We start from the raw sequence: 19,669 nt of genomic DNA on the forward strand, positions 1-19,669 counted from the left end.
ACTCTGGGTCTCCTTGTTGGGCTCAGCGCCAGCTCCTGAAGAACCCAGCAGGCAGCCTGCACGGACCAGGCCCAGCCAGGGTAGGCTCCTACGTCCTGCAGAATGACATTTCCAGGCTCAGACTGGAATCCCCAGGAAGCAAACCTCAGATGCCAGCGCGGGGGAAAGGGTGGGGGGAGCCTTCTATTGTCCCACCACACGTCCTGGACGGATGGCTCTCCCACCAAGAAGAAGGCTTGAGCTGCATCTTGTACTCTCAGAAAAGAGGAAAATAAAACATCTGGTGCCCTGGAGTGGCGTCAGGAAGCAGCGCGTCATCCCAGCCCCTGCTCTTTGTTGACGACCAGCCTCAGTGGGAGCTCCCGGTCTCCTGGGGGCCGGCGCACAGCAACGTCGGTGGCCCAGGGGCCCAGCCTCCTGGGGACAGGCAGGCAGATGAGGCAGCCGGTGTGGGGCGAGCTCCCAGGCCCACGTTCCCAGCCAGCAGGCCTGGCCCTTCGTGGGTGCTGGGCTCCTTACATGTGCTGGTGGGACATACCTTGTGTGTGACGCCGAGAGCCTGGGAGACATGTGCCATCCCGCGGCTCTGTTCCTGGTGCTTTCGCCGAGTCACACGGGGTCGTCCTGGTGGTCAGGGTCTCTTGCCGGCCTCTCCGCTCATCAGAGTGGTGGGTTTGGGTTAGGCAGTTGGCCCTCCCGAGGCTCCAGTCCCATCCGTGGCTGACCACTGTCCCTCTCCCTGCAGGTCACAGTCACCACCATCGGCTATGGGGACAAGGTGCCCCAGACGTGGGTCGGGAAGACCATCGCCTCCTGCTTCTCTGTCTTTGCCATCTCCTTCTTTGCGCTCCCAGCGGTAGGTGCCCCGTGGGTGCGTTTTCCCTGGCTCCTTGGACAGCTGGGGTCCTGGGGTGGCTGCACGCCCCTCCCTGTGAGCAGACCCACTTACGTTCAGAACCAAGAGGGTGCTTCCCTTCTAGAAGGTGCTATACTCCAGAGCCCCACCTGCCCTCCCTGGGGCCCTGGATGCAGACTTCCCGTTTGCAGTCCCCACTGGGGTCCTTGCAGGCAGTGTGGGAGGCAGCCTGGAGTGGCTGTGCATGGGCGCAGTGTGGGGCAGGCCTGCTCACTCAGCCCTGGGTGGGTGGGCAATGCTGCTACCACGCCCCATGGAGGCAGAATCTTGTGCCTGGAGAGGGCACTTCCACGCTGTGGCTGGGGGGGTTTTGTTCCATGTCCTTTCCAGAAACCACAGATTGTAAGGTGATGTGTCTAGTTCACAATGCCTGTATGTGGGTGTGTGTGTGTGTGTTATGTGCGTATGTGCATAATATGTGTTTGTGTTGTGTGTGTATAATTTTATGTTACCTGTATACTATGGGTATGTGTATATGTATCACATGGGTGTGTATGTACTGTATGTGTGCGTGCATACTGTGTATACATATTGTATGTGCATATGTTGTATTTAGTATGTGTGCTGTGTTGTGTGCACATGTATGCATTATACATGTATATCAGTATGTTTGCATATGTGTATTTATGTATCTGTGTCACAGGTATGTATCCTATACATCTATGTGCGTATATGTGTGTGCACATGACATGTAGACATGTGTTAGTATGTGCTTGTGTTAGTGTTTGTGTGTTAGTGTGGGTTAGTGTATGTTTTAGTGTATGTTAGTGTGTTTGTGTGTTAGTGTGTGGGTTTGTGTTTGTGTTTCTGTGTTAGTGTGTGTGTTAGTGTGCGTTAGTTTGTGTTTGTGTGTGTATGTTAGTGTATGTTAGTGTTAGTGTGTGTTAGTATGTGGGTTAGTGTGTGTGTTTGTGTGTTAGTGTGTGTGTTAGTATGTGTTTGTGTTAGTGTGTATTTGTGTGTGTTAGTGTTTGTGTGTGTTTGTGGGTTAGTGTGTGTTAGTGTGGGTTACTGTGTGTTAGTGTTTGTGTGTTAGTGTGTTTTTGTGTGTGTTAGTGTGTGGGTTAGTGTTTGTGTGTGTGTCAGTGTGTGTGTGTTAGTGTGCATATCTATTGTGTGTGTGTGTGCATCACACATGCACGTGCACCACGTGATCTCCTCTGTAGACACGGAGTTCCCTAGCTTCAGGGTGGGTCCTTTGCATCCCATCAACCGTCCTTGGGCGAGGCAGCAGCAGGGTCCTCCTCAGCTGAGGACTGCCTTCTCACTTGCGACCCCAATCCCAGTGCCCAGTATGACCCCTTCCTGGGCACATACAGATGGACCAGCCCACCTGGCCCCCAGAATGGTCCCTGGGAATGGGTTAGAGCGGCTGCAGCCCTGCCCCATGGGACTGGGCCCCTTGCTGGATAAGACCTGGGGTATAAGTTCTGCCCCCCATGCTGGCCCAGGACAGGCAGGCTGGGCCCGAGGTGGGACTTGGGGGGGCTTCCAGCACTGACCATACCTGGCCTTCCCACAACGGTGACCGGTAACCACGTCCTGAGGCTGCACCCAGCTGGCAGTGGCCTGTGTGGACGGGAGCCTCCTGTCCATTCCTTCCCAGGGGATTCTTGGCTCGGGGTTTGCCCTGAAGGTGCAGCAGAAGCAGAGGCAGAAGCACTTCAACCGGCAGATCCCGGCGGCAGCCTCACTCATTCAGGTGCGGTGCCTGCAAGGCCCTGGTCACTGTCATTTTGGTCACTGTTATTGTTGCATCCAGCCCTCACGGCCACCTGTCAGAACCATCATTGGCCCCTGCATCAGCTTGGCTGGCCTGTGGGGCATACTCTGCTTGTGGAAGCCTTGGCTGCTGTGGTGATGGGGTGAGCACGGGGCATTGGAGCCTGTCTTCCTCCAAAGCTGCTCCCATCAAGGGCCATGCCCTGTGGGCTGGAGAGGAGGCACGGCCGTGGCCATGCCAGGAGTGGACGTGGTTGGCTCTGAGGCTCCCTTGTGCTCCCATTCTCCCTCCCACTGCACAACAACCTGAGGGCTGAGTCTGGGAGTGGGGTGGCCAGGTGATTGTCCCCAAGGGAGGTAGGACCCAGCTGTGCAGTTGGTGCCTTCTGGAGGGCCTGGCATCCCTCAGGGCTCGGGAGGCCCTGGTGCCTGGAGGTGAGGACTGGCGATGGATGGCATGGGCCTCCCTCTGGGCTCACAAGGCCAGTGGGCTGGGAAAGGCAGAGCCCTGGAGCAACAGGGGCAGGAAGGTTCTGGAGGCAGGTGGGGAGGCAGGCAGTACCAAGCTCTGGGATGCTGGGCTCTGGCTCTGTCACTCCAGGCTCTCCAGGACCCACCAGAGAATGGGACTGCTCTGTTAACGTAAGCAAGGACTTGGCACAGGAGTCACTTGAGAATTGCGTCCCTGTGGGTCTCTCTTGTTGGCCACTGCAGGGCCAGGGCTGCCCTGAGGAACAGCCGCTGAGGTGCCCAGAGGGTGGGCGTTGCCGGGTTGAATGACAAGTGCCCACTGGGGATAGGGCCTCCGCCCAGTGCAGTGGCTGGGAGCACAGTGTCAGTTCCTCTGGGCACACTGGGCCTGATGTCCCCCAGGAAGGCCCAGGACCTGGGCAGCCCCCGCTGGCTGGCGTCCCCCCTGCAGTCCTCGTGAGCTCGCTGCCCCAGGCAAGGCCCAGGCTGTCAGGGGCCAGTCGCAGTCCTCCTGCACTCCTGGCTCAGCCATCGGGGGGGCTGTGTGCTCCCACCCTTAGCCTGGTTTTATGGCTTCACAGTTTCTCCTTCCTGGGAGACCATAAATCAGGCCCGTAAACCCGCCTTGGTCCCAGCATGAGCATGCTGGCCGCCCACGCCTGGCAGGGGACCACATTGGATTCCTGGTCCCACTCCCTGGGAACCACAGGTCCTTTGAAAGGGGTTCCCTCGGAAGCTGCACACACTGTGGGAGGACTGGAGTAGGGGCCCCAGGTGGCAGGTGTGCACAGGAGCAGGGCAGGGGTCATGGGGTTTGCCAGGGTTGGGGGACCACGTGGAGTGCTCAGCCTGTGTGTGTAACACTCGGGCCTTGGAAGGCTGGGCTTGTGCCCTCGCCTGCCTGTCCCTGGGTGCTGGATGGGAGTGAGGGCTGCAGGTGCCCCTCGCCAGCTGCTGTGTCTACCTGGGGCTGTCACCCAGGAGCCCATCAGTGTGGGGGAACATTCTCCACTCGGCCCTCTCTCAGGCTCATGTGGCCAGTGATGACAAGGCCACCAGGACATGTCCTCATACAAGGCCCTGGGAGCCCCTCCTGCCCATCTGGACGCTGCACAACTGCTCCCCCGCCGGGTCCCCTGCCGATAGTGTCCCCTCCTCCCACCCTTCCCTTGTGGTGCTGCCATGGGGTCTCTCTGAAATGCTGGCTTCAGAGCTGCACCCATGTGCCATCAGAGGCTCCCCCAACTGCAAGGTGGTATAGGCCTCTGGGAGAGACCTCACCTCCTGCCAGCCCTAGGGATCCTGCCTCTCCCTGCCCCCTGCTCAGCACCTGCAGGTCCTGGGCGACCCCTCTTTCTCAGCCCTTCCTCACTGTGTGGCCACTGGTTGCCCATTTCCGCATTGGTCTCCTATGCACGCTGTGTACCCTGGCACCTGGGGATGATGTGCGACCTGCCCACCTTTGCAAGTCTCTCCTTTGGCTCAAGGCTGGCTCAGGGCTGGTAAAGACCTCTGTGGTGTCCCAGCTGTGGGTAACAATTAGCCCATGAGGCAGTGAGCTGCCTGGTGCAGCAAGGGACCAAGCCAGGCTGCCTGGGCAGAGGGTCTGGGAGCTGGGACCATGTCAAGCCTGTGACTCTGAGGTCCCAGACCCTGCCACCCAGAGGGGAGGGGCCAGGCCTGGGGAACAGGGAGGGGGAGCTGTAGCTTCCATAAGGGCCCCCGCCGGGTGGCTCAGCAGGTGACAGCCTGTCCCCCTGCCCGACCTCAGACCGCATGGAGGTGCTATGCTGCCGAGAACCCCGACTCCTCCACCTGGAAGATCTACATCCGGAAGGCCCCCCGGAGCCACACTCTGCTGTCACCCAGCCCCAAACCCAAGAAGTCTGTGGTGGTGAGTAGCCCACCTGCCACCAGGGCAGGGCCTTCTTGCTAGCAGGTGGGGAGGCCGTGGGGGCCGCAGCACGAGGCTGGGATCTCACCATGCATTTGGCTTGGTACAGCCTGTGTCAGGGAGTCAGCATCGTTCGGGACACTGGGCCATACACCCGATGCTAGGTTCCTGCCATCCCAATGTCCCCCGACTTGGGGGTATGTAGGACCGGTCATTCCAGGGCCAGGGCATGAGAGCTCCAGAGATAGAGCTCTGGGAGCAGGACGGGCTGGAAAGAAGGCTCTTCAGAGGGCCTCAGGGTTGGGCTTTCCACACCGGGCGCAGTGGGTGGTGAGCAGTGGGCAGGGGGCCGCGCGCAGTGGGTGGTGGGAGGGGAGCAGCAGGGGAGGGAGGTGAGGCAGGGGTGCAGCGAAGGGGGTCTGGAGGTCACAGGGCAGTGGAGTTTGGCAGGCGCTGGGCAGAAGTCTTGTGACATGGCTGGGGTCATAAGGGGTTGGGGCTGACGCTGGCATGGTTCCCCTTCCTGGCCCGTGCCCACCCCCTGTGGAGAGACCTGGCCTTCCCAGTTTCCAGCTGCCGGTGGAGCCTCCGTGCCTACTGTTCCCTGTGCTGGAATGTTCCCCCAGATTTCCACACAGCCTGCTCCCTCACTTCAGGCGCCCTCTTCATGCCCTGCTGGCCCCCAGCCTGTTCCCCCGATATGCATTCTCCCCTACTGGTCACAGCCCCTGTTACCACCTCCACTGGCACCATCTTGTACGTTTATCTGCTTCCTGCTGTCCTGTTAGCGAGGCCGTGAGCTCACAGGGCAGCACCTGGGCCAAGCCCCCCACGTGACCCCCAGCAGCCCTGCCCTGTCTCTGTGTGAAGACACTGGAGCTGGCCCCAGGCCTCAGGTCCCTGTCCGGGTGTATGTGGCGGGGGCTGGGCTCGGGGCGGCTGCACAGGCACTCTGGGGCCGGCGTAGGGCCTGGCAGACGATGTCCAGGAACCGCTAATCTGTTGTCTTGTTTTTTTTAGGTAAAGAAAAAAAAGTTCAAGCTGGACAAAGACAATGGGGTGACTCCTGGAGAGAAGATGCTCACAGTCCCCCATATCACGTGCGACCCCCCAGAAGAGCGGCGGCTGGACCACTTCTCTGTCGACGGCTATGACAGTTCTGGTGAGAACCCCTCAGGCAGTTGGGGGCCGCGGGGCCGGGAAGGTCACTGCCTTTTTTGGGAGCCCGAGCAAGCCAGTGAGTTTCTCCCTTGGGCTGTGGTCTCTGACAACGAGGTATGAACAGACAGAGGGTGGAGCTTCTAGAAACTTCTGTAAACCTTCCAGGTGCCTTCCCCTCAGAGTCTTCCCAAGGAGGAGCTGGCCACGCCTTCTGTTGCGAGAGGAAGCCTGGGCAGGTGATGGGGTGGGTCGGCTCCATCCGGCTGTACTGAGGGAAGGGTGTGTTCCTGATTCCAGCTGCCTGGCTTCCTCCCAGCCGAGCCCACGGGCTCTGGTTGGAAAGTGGCTAGGGTGACCTCTGGGCCTACTGGCAGGGACGCCAGAGGGAAGGGGTTTGGGGATGGGGCCCTGGAGGAGCAGCACCAGGCCCGGGTAAAACGTGGGGGGCCTGACGGGACAGGCCCTTCTCATGCAGCCCAGGGGCCCCGAGTCTGTGCGTGATGGTGTGGCTCGGATCTGCGTCCCTCCTCTCACCCCTGCAGCGGGGGCTGGGATGAAGCTACCTTCTGCGGGACCTGACGATTGGATGGCAGACCTGTCTAGGGTTTAGATGTCCTCCATCCCTGGTGAGGGGTTTTACCCACGCTAACTCGTAAGCGTGGCTCTTTGACAGATGTGGAGAGCGAGGCCCTAGAGGCTGGGCTCGTGTGCTCCAGCCACACGGCGGGAATACAGCAGTGCCCGGTTGTGGCTCCCACGAGTGAGGCCCTGGAGGCTGGGCCCATGTGCTTCAGCCACACGGCAGGAACACAGCAGTGTCTGGTTGTGGCCCCCCCATGCCTCCCGCCAACTTCTGCTGTTCCCAGAAGTGCAGCTGGCTGAGCACAGACACAGCAGGTGACCTGTGGTGATGCCAGGGCATCAGCGCTTGGCCTCCCCACACTGCTCCAGGGCAGACCTGGCCTCCTGGCTGCATCAGGAGGCACACGTGATGCATCCGTCATCTCGGGACCAGTTTTGAGACAAACATCCTATAGGGCAGGACCGTGAACTGGGTAGCTCTACAGAGTGTGAGGGGCTGGAGACCTCCTGCCCACTGGCCACGGATGCCACGGATGCCCTTGAGAGTTAGGAGAGGTGGAAGGGACCCCACTTCTCCCTGGGAGCTCCAACTTCTCTTGCATGTGACTTCAGTGCCCACTTCTGGGGACTGTGATCCCAAACTGCCAAATTCTCTAGCAGCTCTCTTAAAACCAAATGTGAAGGATTCTGGCTTTTTCTGTCCTCTGAGCCCAGCGTGGGGTATTTGAGATAGCTGTGCTGCCACCAGGACAGGGGCGTGCACCTTGTCTTCCCAGGAGAAAACACAGCAAAGCCTGTTTGCTCCCTAGTACCTCGTGCAAAGGTGCCATCTGTGGCCCTGCTCGCTGCTTCCTCTGAGGCAGACATAGTAGTGACTGTGTTCTGATACAAAGATGGCACTTGCCCGATGCTGCACTGCAGCACCAATGCAGAGGCCCTGGCAAATGTTCGCAGAAGCCCCCGTCCCAGGGCGTGGTCCCCCTTGGAGGAAAAGGGCACCTGTTTTGAAAACACTTGGTTATCATGGTGCCAGAAAGCACTAGTTTAGGCCCCACATGAAACAGTGGCCTTGCCCTCCCAGCATGGGAGAGCCCTCATCTTCCAGGTGGTGGGGGGAGCACAGCATTTGAAGCCCACTCCCCTTTGACCACTTGCTGTTGTCCAGACAGACATCACGCACGTGGGCCTTGCATTGGTTCCTGCTTACTTTGTCTCTGCTGACCCGGTTTCTGCTCCTTGAAGTCTCAGCCCCCTTCTTCCATGATTCCAAGGCATGTCCCTCTAAGGAGGCTTGACCCCACCCTGGAGGGCCTGCTCCCCACTCTCTGCCTTCCATGCCCCATGGGAGGGCTCCATGTGGCCCAGTCCCTTGGAGGCTGGACCCCACTGTTCCGGACTCTGGGCTGTTGGAAGCCAGGCCCTGCCTCAGTTGTGCCAAGTGGCCAGGGTTCTATGCCTGGCAGAGGAGGTGTGGGAGGCCAAGCGCTGATGCCCTGGCATCACCACAGGTCACCTGCTGTGTATGTGCTCAGCCATCCAAGTAATATGATCCATTCCCTTCTCAGCAGCCGTCCCTTTACCCTTTGGTCATTTCTGCATCCATCTCTCCCTCTCGGACCTCTTCCCAGTGCCTGGGACTAACCCGAATGTCTCAGCTTACCAGCAGTTGTAAGGATGCTGTCACATCTTATGCATGGCAGAGAGGGGACAAACCCACAGTGTTCGCAACCCTTTGTGCTCGCAGGCACCAGCCCAGCCCGCCAAGCTCCAGTTCATTCAGGATGGCTCACCTGCATCCCCACCTCCTTGGCAGGAGGCTGGGTGGTGTTCCCTGCCCCTTGGGGCTTTCCTGGGCATCCCATGTGGAAGTCAGCAGGCAAGACCAAGTCCAGGCTCCCGCTCCACTGGGCACCAGGCTCCCCAGGACTTAGATGCCATCAGGATTGGGCTGGGACCCGACCACATCTCAGTGAGCCCCCGGGACGTGCTCCCGCCTGCCCGCTGGAGCCGGCACAAAGGGCGATTGTGCCAACCAATGCCCAGTGCCCCCACAGCTCCGGATTCAGGGCTGAGACCATTGTCTCCATGCAAATGGGGGCTTTCTGCGCATGCTAACGGGCAGGTGGGCGTGGCCGGGGGCTGGGGACCCAGCCTGTGTGCGGCCTGGAGAAGCATCGCTTGCTGCTTGCTGAATGCGGGGCAGCCCGAATCGATGCCGTCCATTCAGCCTGGTTAGTGTTATGAAGTCATTAGTGCTGTCTGCGGAATGTTAATGAGGGGCAAGTGCGGAGAAAGTCAGGCGCCTTTTGTGGAATGCTCCTCCACGGAGAAGATTTCTCTTTCCTGCTGGAGTTTGTTCTTTCCTAACTTGATAAGTCAGCCCAGGCTGGAACCACCAGCTTTCTGGAGCCTGAGCTGTTGGCCTGGCCCCCAGGGACAGAGCGACCCCTGATAATCCGGAGTCCCCTTTGCCCAGGAGGCTCTTGGAGAGCCCTGGCTTGGGGAGAAGGAGATGCTGATCCCAGGGCAGATGCCACTCCTGGGGAAGCCCCACAGCCCCACTCCCGCAAGGCGGGTACGAACAGCCACACTGAGTCCCCCGCAAAGTCAAACCCAGGCCTCGACCTTGTCTGGCTGTGCTTTCTGTTGTGTGAACCTGCAGGTTAGGCAGAAGTCCCCTTGACCCTGCCTCAGGGCTGCTACCTGTCTGCGCCATCCACCTGCACACAAGCCCCTTCAGCTCGTGCTCTAGCTGGTGCTGTGCGGTGTTGGCCCCATTTATAGATGGAGAAACGGAAGGCCAGGGCCATGTGGGGAACTCCTGAGGACACCTGTGTGTCCTGACACCTCACTGAGCCTGTCGAGAGGCACAGGCAGGTATGGCAGTGGCAGACCTCAGGGGAGGGAGGCTGGGAAGGTAGAAGGTCCCCCATGGTAGCATCAGAACACAGACTAACCTGCAGCAAAAATGGGCTGTGTGGTCCCTGTAGAGCAGCCTCACTGAGGGGAGGCACCAGCCCTCATCCCACGCAGCAGGGCCCGCTGCTGCTCCCTCAACCTTCTGACCTGGGTGGGGAGGGAGGGGAATGTCAGCAGCCACCCAGCCCGAGAGCCAGAGCACAGCAGGGGCTGGCCAGCCTAGCCCTAGAGTCTTTGCAGTGAAGCGTCACAGACTCCTCATGAAGGATGCATGGGGACCCAACCGCATGCCACTTGGCTTGGCAGTGTCAAAGGGACTGGGGACCTGCGAGGATGCGGTGGCCATTGTCTGTGCCCAGCCTGGGGAGCCTGACACTCACAGCCCGGCTGCTGCTGCCTTGGGCGTCCTGAAGATCCTCTGTATGCTTGTGGGGTGGGGGCAGACACACAGGCAGCCTCCTGCCCAGAGGGTCCAAGCGGGCATGGCCATCCACATCTGCAGGTCAGAAGAGGCCTGGGCTGGAGCCGCATACTGGCCATGCTGCCTCGCTGTCCCTGCCTCAGAGCCACTGTATTCACTCTGCCTGGAACTGTCTTTCCTGGATCCCAGGAGTCCTGAAGGAGCCGCCTCCATCCTGAGCTGCCTACCCTGCCCCTCCTCCACTCCAGTTGTCTCCACAGCCAGGTCACCATTGACCAGGTTGTCCAGTCCCCTCCTCATAGGGGAGTGGCCCTTTGTCTTTCACCACTGACCCTTCCCAAGCTGGTACCATGCCTAACCCATGGTGGGTACACGATAAAAATGCAGGGCTGTGCCACCAGGGTTTTGTCTTGACAAAGGGACTGGAGGCAGGTTGTCAGAGTAGGGCTGGCCGGAGGTGGCCTCCTGAATGCCCCTAGGAGGCCAGAGGAGACTTCCCCAAATTCACTGGTCCTGGAGGCCGCCTCAGAGGCCTTTTGCTGCTCAGAGAACACTGGGCTGGAAGGTCGTGGTCTGTGACGTAGGATCGGGGAGGCCACCTCAGAGGCCTTTTGCTGCTCAGAGAACACTGGGCTGTAAGGTCGTGGTCTGTGACGTAGGATCGGGCAGCACGCACCTTTCCACCTGGCCTGGAGGTGATTCTGAAGGGCTTCTGGGGAGGCGTCTTCAAAGCTGTGCCTGTGTGTGTCACCACGTGTTTGCCAGGTGACCTGGGACTATTGTGTGGTTTCCCGTTTGTGAAGTGGGGCAGCGTGCTGGAGGAGCATGCATCACATACCCAGAGGTCCCCAGTGTGGTCTGGGGACTCATCGTTCACACTCGTGTGTGTGCTTTCTGGAGGCATGCGTCATGGAACAGCCTCACCTCTCACTTCTGCACTTGTGAGCCTGGTTCTCACAGGGTCAGGCTGTAGCCTCCTCCTGCTCCCGGCTCCGCGTCCTCAGCCCAACACACCAAGCCTGGCCTTTCATGCACTCCTCCATTCAAAGCCGTGTGTTCTGATTGTGCACTTTTGGTGGCTGCCACAGGATTAAATCCTGAATGCTTTGCCAGTTGAGATCAAAAGTCACCCCAACTCCTCTGAAACCTCACTGGGACCTCAAGGTGCTCCAGATCCTACTGCCTCCTGCCGTTTCCTGGGCCTTTGTTGCCCAGTATTTTGGTTTTGTCTTTTAAACAATCCTCTTTTTGTTGATGCTGCATACATTGAGATATTTACTCACAGACTTGCAGTTTTCTGTCTCACCATTTGGATTTAATTTCCTTTTTCCTGAAGTCTGTGTTTCTTTCAGTGAAGGTAAACTCTCAGTTTCAGTTTGTCTGAAATATTTTTACTTTGCCTTTATTCTTGGATGATGGTTTCGTTGGGAGAAAGTAACAGGTTAATATGTACATTTTGTCTGAAGACTCTGGAGCTGTAACACTGCAGTCTCCTGGCTTCTGTGGGTCATCAGGCTAATTGATTTTCCTTTGTAAGTGACCCTCCCTACCTCTAGTGACTTCAGAAACCTTCCTTTTGACTTTAGTGTTCAGAGGTTTCAATGTACTGTACCAAGGTGGTGCATTATTTTTATTTATCATGCCTACACTTTGTTGTGATTCCTGAATCTGAGGGTTTATGTCTTTCATCAACCGTGGAAAGTCAGTACCATTATGTTGTAGAATATTGCCTCCCCTAATGCTTCTGATCTTTTCCAGAAACTTCTATTTGACCATCTCATTGTCTTCCTCAGCTGTCTCATAGATTTTCTATCTCTGTCTCCCTCTGCTTCATTCACAGAATTTTCTATGCAGTTTCTAACTCTTGAGATGTTTCTGTTCCACTGCTTTATCTACCCACTGAGACTTTCAGTTATATATTTTTTCCTTCCCTATAAATCCTTGTATGGGGGTTTAATTTGCTTGATTTTAGCATCTTGTACCTTTCTCATATTTTAAACTACAACTTTTAATCTTTAGGTCATTTGAACATGCATATTTTGTACCCTCTATCCTGTCATTTCATCATCTGCAGTTCTTGGAGAGTCTAATTCTGTTCACTGTAGTTTTTTCTGACTCTTGCTCATGATGGCTCATTTCATTGTGGGTTTGCAATTTAGATCATGAGTTTGTGTGGTGGATGTTTTTGTTTGTGGGGTTCCTATGTATCCTGTATAAGGTACATGCCTCTGGAGAAGCTGCACTTTTGCTTGTACAGGGTGACCCAGTGAACCAATCCAGGACCTTCATGATCCATGTTTTAGATATGGGATCTTCTAGACAACCTATGCAGTGTAAACAGAAACCCCAATCTCCTGTGAGAGCAAGTCTAAGTAACATATATTGAGAAGAGAGTTTTATTTTATAAAATAAAACTGTCTTTATTTGCAGAAGACATGGTTATCTATGTAGAAAATCTGATGAACATGCAAGATGACCACTATGACTAATATATGAGTTTAGTAAGGTGGCAGATACAAGATTAATATGCAAAAATCAATTCCATTCATATATTCTTGCAGCAAATAACCAGAAATTGAGATTTTTAAAATACAGGCGTGTCTCATTCTTATTGACTGCACTTTGCTGATAATGCATTTTTTACAAATTGAAGGTTTGTGGCAACCTTGCTCAAGTTGAAGCCAGTACTCACGTACCATTTCAACAATCCTAGGGCCCTTAAGAATTATGCTAAATCTACTCTGCTTATGCTCTATAATGAAGCAACAAAGCCCGATGACAGTACATCTGTTGACAACATGGTTTACTGAATATGTTGAGCCCATTTTCGAGACCTATTGCTCAGACAAAAAGATCCCTCTCAAAATGTTACTGCTCATTGACAGTGCACCTGGTCATCCAAGACCTCTGATGGAGATGTACAAGATTAGTGTTGTTCTTATGGCTGCTAACACAACATCCATTCTGCAGCCCATAATCAAGGAGTAATGCCAACTTTGAAGTCTTATTATTTAAGAAATACATTTTATAAGGCTATAGCGGCCATAGATAGCGATTGCTTTGATGAATCTGGGCAAAGTAAATTGAAAACATTTTAGAAAATAATCACCATTCTAGATGAAATTAAGAACATTAGTGATTCATGGAAGAACGTCAAAATATCAGCATTAACAGGAATTGGGAAAAAGTTGATTCCAACCCTCATGGATGACTGAGGGGTTGAAGATTTCAGTGGAGGAAGTAACTACTGATGTTGTGAAAACTGCAAGAGAACTAGAATTAGAAGTGGAGCCTGAAGATGTGGCTGAAATATCATTAGTTATTAGAGAAATGCAAATAAAAAACACAATGAAATACCACGGCCCAATTATTATATTATATAAAATGAGGGAGATGGATGATACCAAGTGTTGGTAAAGATGTGTCGGAGGTGGAACTCTCATATGCTCCCGGTGAGAATGCAAAGTCCAAAGCGATGCAACCATTTGGGAAACAGTTCAGCAGTTTCTTGATGTGTTAAATACATACCTACCATATTCTACAGCGATTCTATTCCTAGGTATTTATCCAGGAGAAATAAGATCATATGCATGCCACCATTTGTACATGGAATATTCATAGCAGCTTTATAAAAACTGGAAACCCCAAACTGGAAGCAACCCAAATACCCATCAACATTTGAATAGATTTTTTTCAAAGTTGTAGTATATTCCTAAAATGGAATACTACTTAGAAATACAAAGGAATGAACCACTGATATGCCTACAATATGGATACATTGCAACATAATTATGGTGAGTGAAAGAAGCCAGACAAAAAAAAAAAGAGTACATGGTATCTTATTTATGTAAAAATCTAGAAAATGACCACTAATATAGAGTGACAAACAAGTCAGTGGTTATCAGTGGTTACCTGGGGATCAGGGGTAGTAGTAGGAGGGAAAAGGACAAAAGGGCACAAAAAAACTTTTGGGGCAGTGGATATGTTCATTATCATAATCATGGCGATGGTTTCATCATGTGTCAAAAGTTACCAAATTGCACACTTTAAACATAAGCAAGTTATGTCAATTATATCTCAATAAAACTGTTTATAATATATAATGTAAATATATAATATATATTTTGCATAGCAAAAAAACATACTGAAAATAATTTTTTATTGATAACCTAAAGAAACCAGTTGCCACTCACCTATAGGCATGGGGCTAATTTAATTGCTATATAAAAACGCTCTTGTAAATCAAGATAGAAGTTAAAGGATATTAAAACAGTTCACAGAAAAGGAAATACCAATAATTCTTAAGAATGAAAATATGCTGGATGACTTCAATTATGACAAGAGAAATGCAAACTAAAGCAATGGGGTTTTTGAAACTTATCTGATTATTAAATATCAAAGAGTTTGATAACACTCTATGGGTATGTGTACATGGAAACTCTCAGTCTCAGTCATTGATGTTAGAAAAATAAATTGATACAAACCTCTGTGGAGATAAATAAGGCAATTTCAATCAAAATTAAAGATGCATATGCCTTTGAATCATTCTAGAAATTTATTCTACACATATCTTACACATTTGCAAAATAATCCATCATCAGGATATTGATTTCTGCAATTGTTAAATAGCAAAAAATTGCAAACCACCGACATACCCATCAGTGGAGGTCTGCTTCAAGTATCATATCTCCGTTAAACAGCCATCAAAACTGTGAAGCTTCACTCTCATCACTGATGCAGGACATCCCTGATATCTGATCCTAGAAATAACAGTACATCTTTCAGAAGAGTATGAAATCTGCCATCATGTGGGGGCAAATACAATGGTTTACAAAACAAAGTTTTATCTACCTTCCTTGTTCTGTGTCTTGGAACTGTTTGAAGAACATTGGGATTATCTTTTCTGTAGAGGTTAAATAGAATTGAGTTGTAAAACCATCTGGGCCTGATACATGTTTTATAGGATATCTTTAGTAATTTCTTTTTAGTCTGTTTTATGATATGTTGTTCTAAATTAGTTTATTGCATCTTTTGGAGTAATTTATTCATTGCTATTTAATTTCCTCAAGCATTTCAATTGTGTTGCCACTTGGTAGCAACTGATTTTTTCCTTTAGTGATTTTATGGTCTTCTCTATCATCTCTTCGTTTTTCTTTTCCTTTATGCCTGAACTTTTGTGGTTTTTCTCCTTTTTTCTTAATCAAGCACATGAGAAATTTATGTTTTATTTATATTTTATTATCAGAAAACTATCTTTGTACTCTTTGTTATCTATTTCATTAATCTAAGCTTTTATAGCTATTAATTCCCTTTTCTTGGCTAACTCTATTTTTGTTTTCTTTTACTTAAGAGTCATAGTTCATTTATTTGAAGTTCTTCTACTAAAGGCATTTTTAAAGGCTATAAATTTTCCTCTGATTGCAGCTTTAGCTGTGACACGTAGATCTGATTATGAAATATGTTCCTTTTCATTGCTTTCTTGATAGTTTTAATTTTGTGTTTTGATTTTTCTCTTTAGAGTTCTTTTAATGTCTTCTTAATTTTTAAGCAGTAAATTTTTATCACTGTTATTTATTTCTAATTTAGTAGGCTTACAGTGAAAGGATGTAGCCTATGAAGTCTCCACTTTTTTTAAAATGAAGATTTTCTTTGTCTCCAAGTATGAAAATAACATCATTATTTTTGTAAATGCTCCACAGACCTCAGAAAATATCTTCTGTATTTGTATAACACAAAGTTTTATTTGTATACATGGACAGACAAAATGTACATTGAGATGGATTGTGTATACATACTTATTCATTGCCTCATTTAGGTCTGCTCTGCCCTTAGTTAAAAAAAAAAAACCCTAATACATCTGCCAAATTCTGAGACAGGAAAATTAAATCTTCCTGTACAATTATGTTTCTAAAAATTGAGTGGCAGGTTTCATGGAGTGGTTTGGAGCACAGCCTATATGGCCAACCTTCTTTAGGGTCATAGCCCAGCTCTGCCATTTTCTTATGTGGCCCTAAGCAAGCTACTGCATTCTCTGTGCCTCAGTTTCCACATCTGTGAAATCAGGATCCTAACTGCCTGCTCCCAGGACTCCTGTGTTGACTGAGTGAGTTAGAACATGTAAGTGCTCACCCAGGACCCATATGCAGCAAACAGTCTTGTGTCTCTGTCTGCTGCCAAATTGGCCTCAGGCTCTATCAATACCAGATCTGAATAGGGGCTATTCTTTCTTTTAGTGTCCTTAATGTTGTATTACTTTCCAATATTCACACTTTAACTTTACAGATGAGTAGAATGGAATAGATGTGTTTCAGTACAGAACTTTTTTCTTATGTTTGCTTGGGCTCCCCTCCTCTCTGTTACCTATGTTGATAATCTAGGATTTGTTGTCTTACATTTTTCCTGATGTTCATATAATATTCAATGAAATAAAATACATGTGACATAATGAAGGCATTATCATTGTTTTCCAAACTCACGGGATCATATCATACCTGCTTTCTGCATCTTGTTTTTCTCAATCAGTAAAATAGTAAAAATGCCTCTAAGGCTGCTGAAACAATTTTATTTTGATTTAATTCTATCTCTAATTGAATTTTATTTCTATTTCAATTCTATTCTAAAATTTATAATCTCTGCTTAATTTCCTTTGGTGTACATACTCTGTGATGTTCTCTATCGCTTAAAATTCATTTTGTTCAAGAACATAGGTTCTTGAACCTGTTTCTATGTACAGAACTTTTATTTCTATGTGTTAACTTTCCAGGATGTATTAGTTTGCTAGGACTGCCATAACAAAATACCACAGGCTGGGTGGCTTAGACAGCAGACATGTATTTCTCACAATTCTGGAGGATAGAAGTCTGAGATCAAGGTGTCAGCAAGGCTGCTTTCCCTGAGGCCTCTTTCCTTGCCTTGCAGATGGCCGCCTTCTTCCTGTGTCATCACATGACCATTGCTCTGGGCACTTGCACCCTGGTGTTTCTCTGTGTGTCCAAATATCCTTTTCTTTAAGGGCACCAGTCACACTGGATTAGGGCCCACCCTAACAGCCTCATTGTAGCTTCATCACCTCTTTAAAGGTCCTGTCTCCAAACATGCTGAGTCACGTGCCGAGGTATTAAAGACCAGGGCTTCAACTGCAAACCTTGTGGGACACAATTCAGCCCGTGACACAGGAATAGGCTTGTTAATTTCAGTGATGTAGCCAGGTTGTTTTTCTCGTTTTGTCTGACCTTGAATTCCACAGGCAGGGTTCCTCTTTCCCGGCCGGCATTCCTGCCCACCAGTCCTGGCAGAGTGACTTATTGTCAGCCAAGTGGGGCAGAGTTTCTCCACTGTACCTCTATTGAAATCTAGTGCCGGATAATTCTTTGTTGAGGGAGGAAGTCCTGTCTATTGCAGGATGTTTAGCAGCATCTCCGGCCTCAGTTATGACCACCAAAAACATCTCCACATGTTGCTACATGTCCCCTGGAGGGCAAAATTGCCCCCAGTTGTGACCTGCTGAGCTAAAGCAGTCCCTCAGGATTGTTTCTTAAAACAAAACAAACTGTTTATTTGGCCATAATTTTGAACTACAGAAAAATTACAAGCACGAGATATAAAAACACCTACATACCCTTCACTAAGATTTACCAGTTTACTAATTGTTACATTTTGCCACATTTGCTTTATCATTTGAACCCCTTTCTCTACATTATATTCACATAACATGTTTTTCTGAAACATCTGTGAGTTGCATACTCCACAGCTCTTTGCCCCTAAACATTTTGCTGTGTATTTCTGAAAAATAAAGATATTATCTTTGAAAGCAGTAATACAGTTATTGACTTCTGCAATTAAACATCAATATAATACTTGGACCTAATTTAATGCCTATGTTCCCATTTTGTCAGTTGCCATGACAATGTCCTTTGTGGCATTTTTTCCTCCACTGCAAGATCCAGTTCAGGGTCAGTACTGCCTTTAGATGTGTCTCTTCAGTCTTGTTTAATCTGGAACATTTCTAGTCTCTTTCTCTGTTATGACACTGATATTTTTTAAAGATACAGTCCTGCCACTTCTTGGGGGAGTCTGATGTTTCCTCAGGTTAGATCCACGTTGTGTACTCTGTAAGTGACCTGATGTCCTTCTCAGTGTATCACATCCTGAGGCACACAGTGTATCTGCCCCTTATTAACGATGTTATTTTGATCACCAAATTGAGGCCGTTATCCACTTTTCTACCTTACAGTTACTATATTTTGCCTTGCAACCAATAAACAATCGGGGGAGATTCTTTAAGGCCATGCATATACCCTGCTACTTGTTAAAAAAAAAAAAAAAGTCTCTCCAGATTTAAATGCTTTTGGAAACCAGGCTTTACTGTGGTAGTTGCAAAAATGATCATTTTCCAACTCTAGCACCCCTTCCACGAAAGTACAGAAAGAAAAAAAAATACTGTCCAGTTGGAATGGTTACCTCATTGTGGTTTTGATTTGCATTTTCCTAATGATGCTGAGCATTTTTCCACGTGCCTAGTGCCCAATTGTGTATCTTCTTTAGTGAAATATTTATTCAGATCTTTTGCCCGTTTAAAAAAATGAGACTTTCAAGCTTTTTATTTTTAGACATTCATATGCAGTGGTAAGAAATAATAGGGATCCCATGCACCCTTTAGTTAGTTTCCGTCAGTGGTAGCATCTTCTAAAACCATAGCACAATATGATAACCAGGATGTCAACAGCAAGAGTCCAGATGCAGAGTGCTCCCGTCGCCACGGGGTTCCCATTATTTGTCCTTTTACACGGACTTTCTCCCATCCCATCCCTCCAATCCCTGGTGACCACTCATCTGTTCTCTGATTCTCTAGTTTTGTCTTTTCAAAAATGCCACGTAAATGGAATCACACAATACACGATATCTTAGAAACGGGGTCTTTTGGCTCGGCATCATTCTCTGGATTCATTCCGGTTGTTTTGTATCGCGACAGTTCATTAAATCATAGTGCTGAGTGGAGTTTCACGGTATGGACATATACCCCAGTTTATTTAACCATTCCCTCATCCAAGGACATGTGGGTCATTCCCAGTTTGGGCTATTACAAATCAGAGTAGGCTGAACAATGGCCCCCAAAGTAGCCAGGTCCTAACGCCTAGAACCTGTGACTATCGCCTTCTATGGCAAAGGGCACTCTGCAGATGTGTCAAATTAAGGACCTTGAGATGGAGAGATCATCCTGGGTTATCTGAATGGGCCCGGTGTAATCACAAGGGTCCTTATAACAGGGAGGCAGAAGAATGACTACAGAAGAGAAAAAGGGTTACGTGGCCACGGAAGCAGGGGCAGGAAATGGCAATGTGATTTGAGGAAGGGGTCACAAACCAAAGAACGCTTCCAGAAGAAAAGGCAAGGAAAGGGAAGGGATGCTCCCCTGAAGCCTCCAGAAGGAACCAGCCCTGCTGACACCTTGATTTTTCGTCCCCTAAGACTCTTTTCAGACTTCTGGCCTCTAGAACTGTGAGAAAAAAAAAAAAAGCGTGTCTTGTTTTAAGCCACTAAGTTTGTGGAAATGTATTACAGCAGCCATGGGAACCTTATACAT

General features: G+C 50.1%; 1 protein-coding gene across 5 annotated transcripts in view; it reads left to right on the forward strand.

The window, feature by feature from the left end:
- The window catches only part of KCNQ1 (potassium voltage-gated channel subfamily Q member 1), a 404,098-nt gene that overhangs the window by 137,682 nt on the left and 246,747 nt on the right, over positions 1 to 19,669 (forward strand). For 3 of the 5 annotated variants that reach the window (NM_001406837.1, NM_000218.3, NM_181798.2), the window contains 4 exons: positions 746 to 856; positions 2,523 to 2,618; positions 4,881 to 5,003; positions 6,024 to 6,165. In NM_001406837.1, coding sequence (NP_001393766.1) covers positions 746 to 856; positions 2,523 to 2,618; positions 4,881 to 5,003; positions 6,024 to 6,165 — 472 coding nt within the window. The remainder of the gene's footprint in view (positions 1 to 745; positions 857 to 2,522; positions 2,619 to 4,880; positions 5,004 to 6,023; positions 6,166 to 19,669) is intronic. The other 2 variants (NM_001406836.1, NM_001406838.1) reach the window with 1 other exon arrangement.

This window comes from Homo sapiens, chromosome 11 (assembly GCF_000001405.40).
Source record: "Homo sapiens chromosome 11, GRCh38.p14 Primary Assembly".
Lineage (NCBI taxonomy): Eukaryota > Metazoa > Chordata > Mammalia > Primates > Hominidae > Homo > Homo sapiens.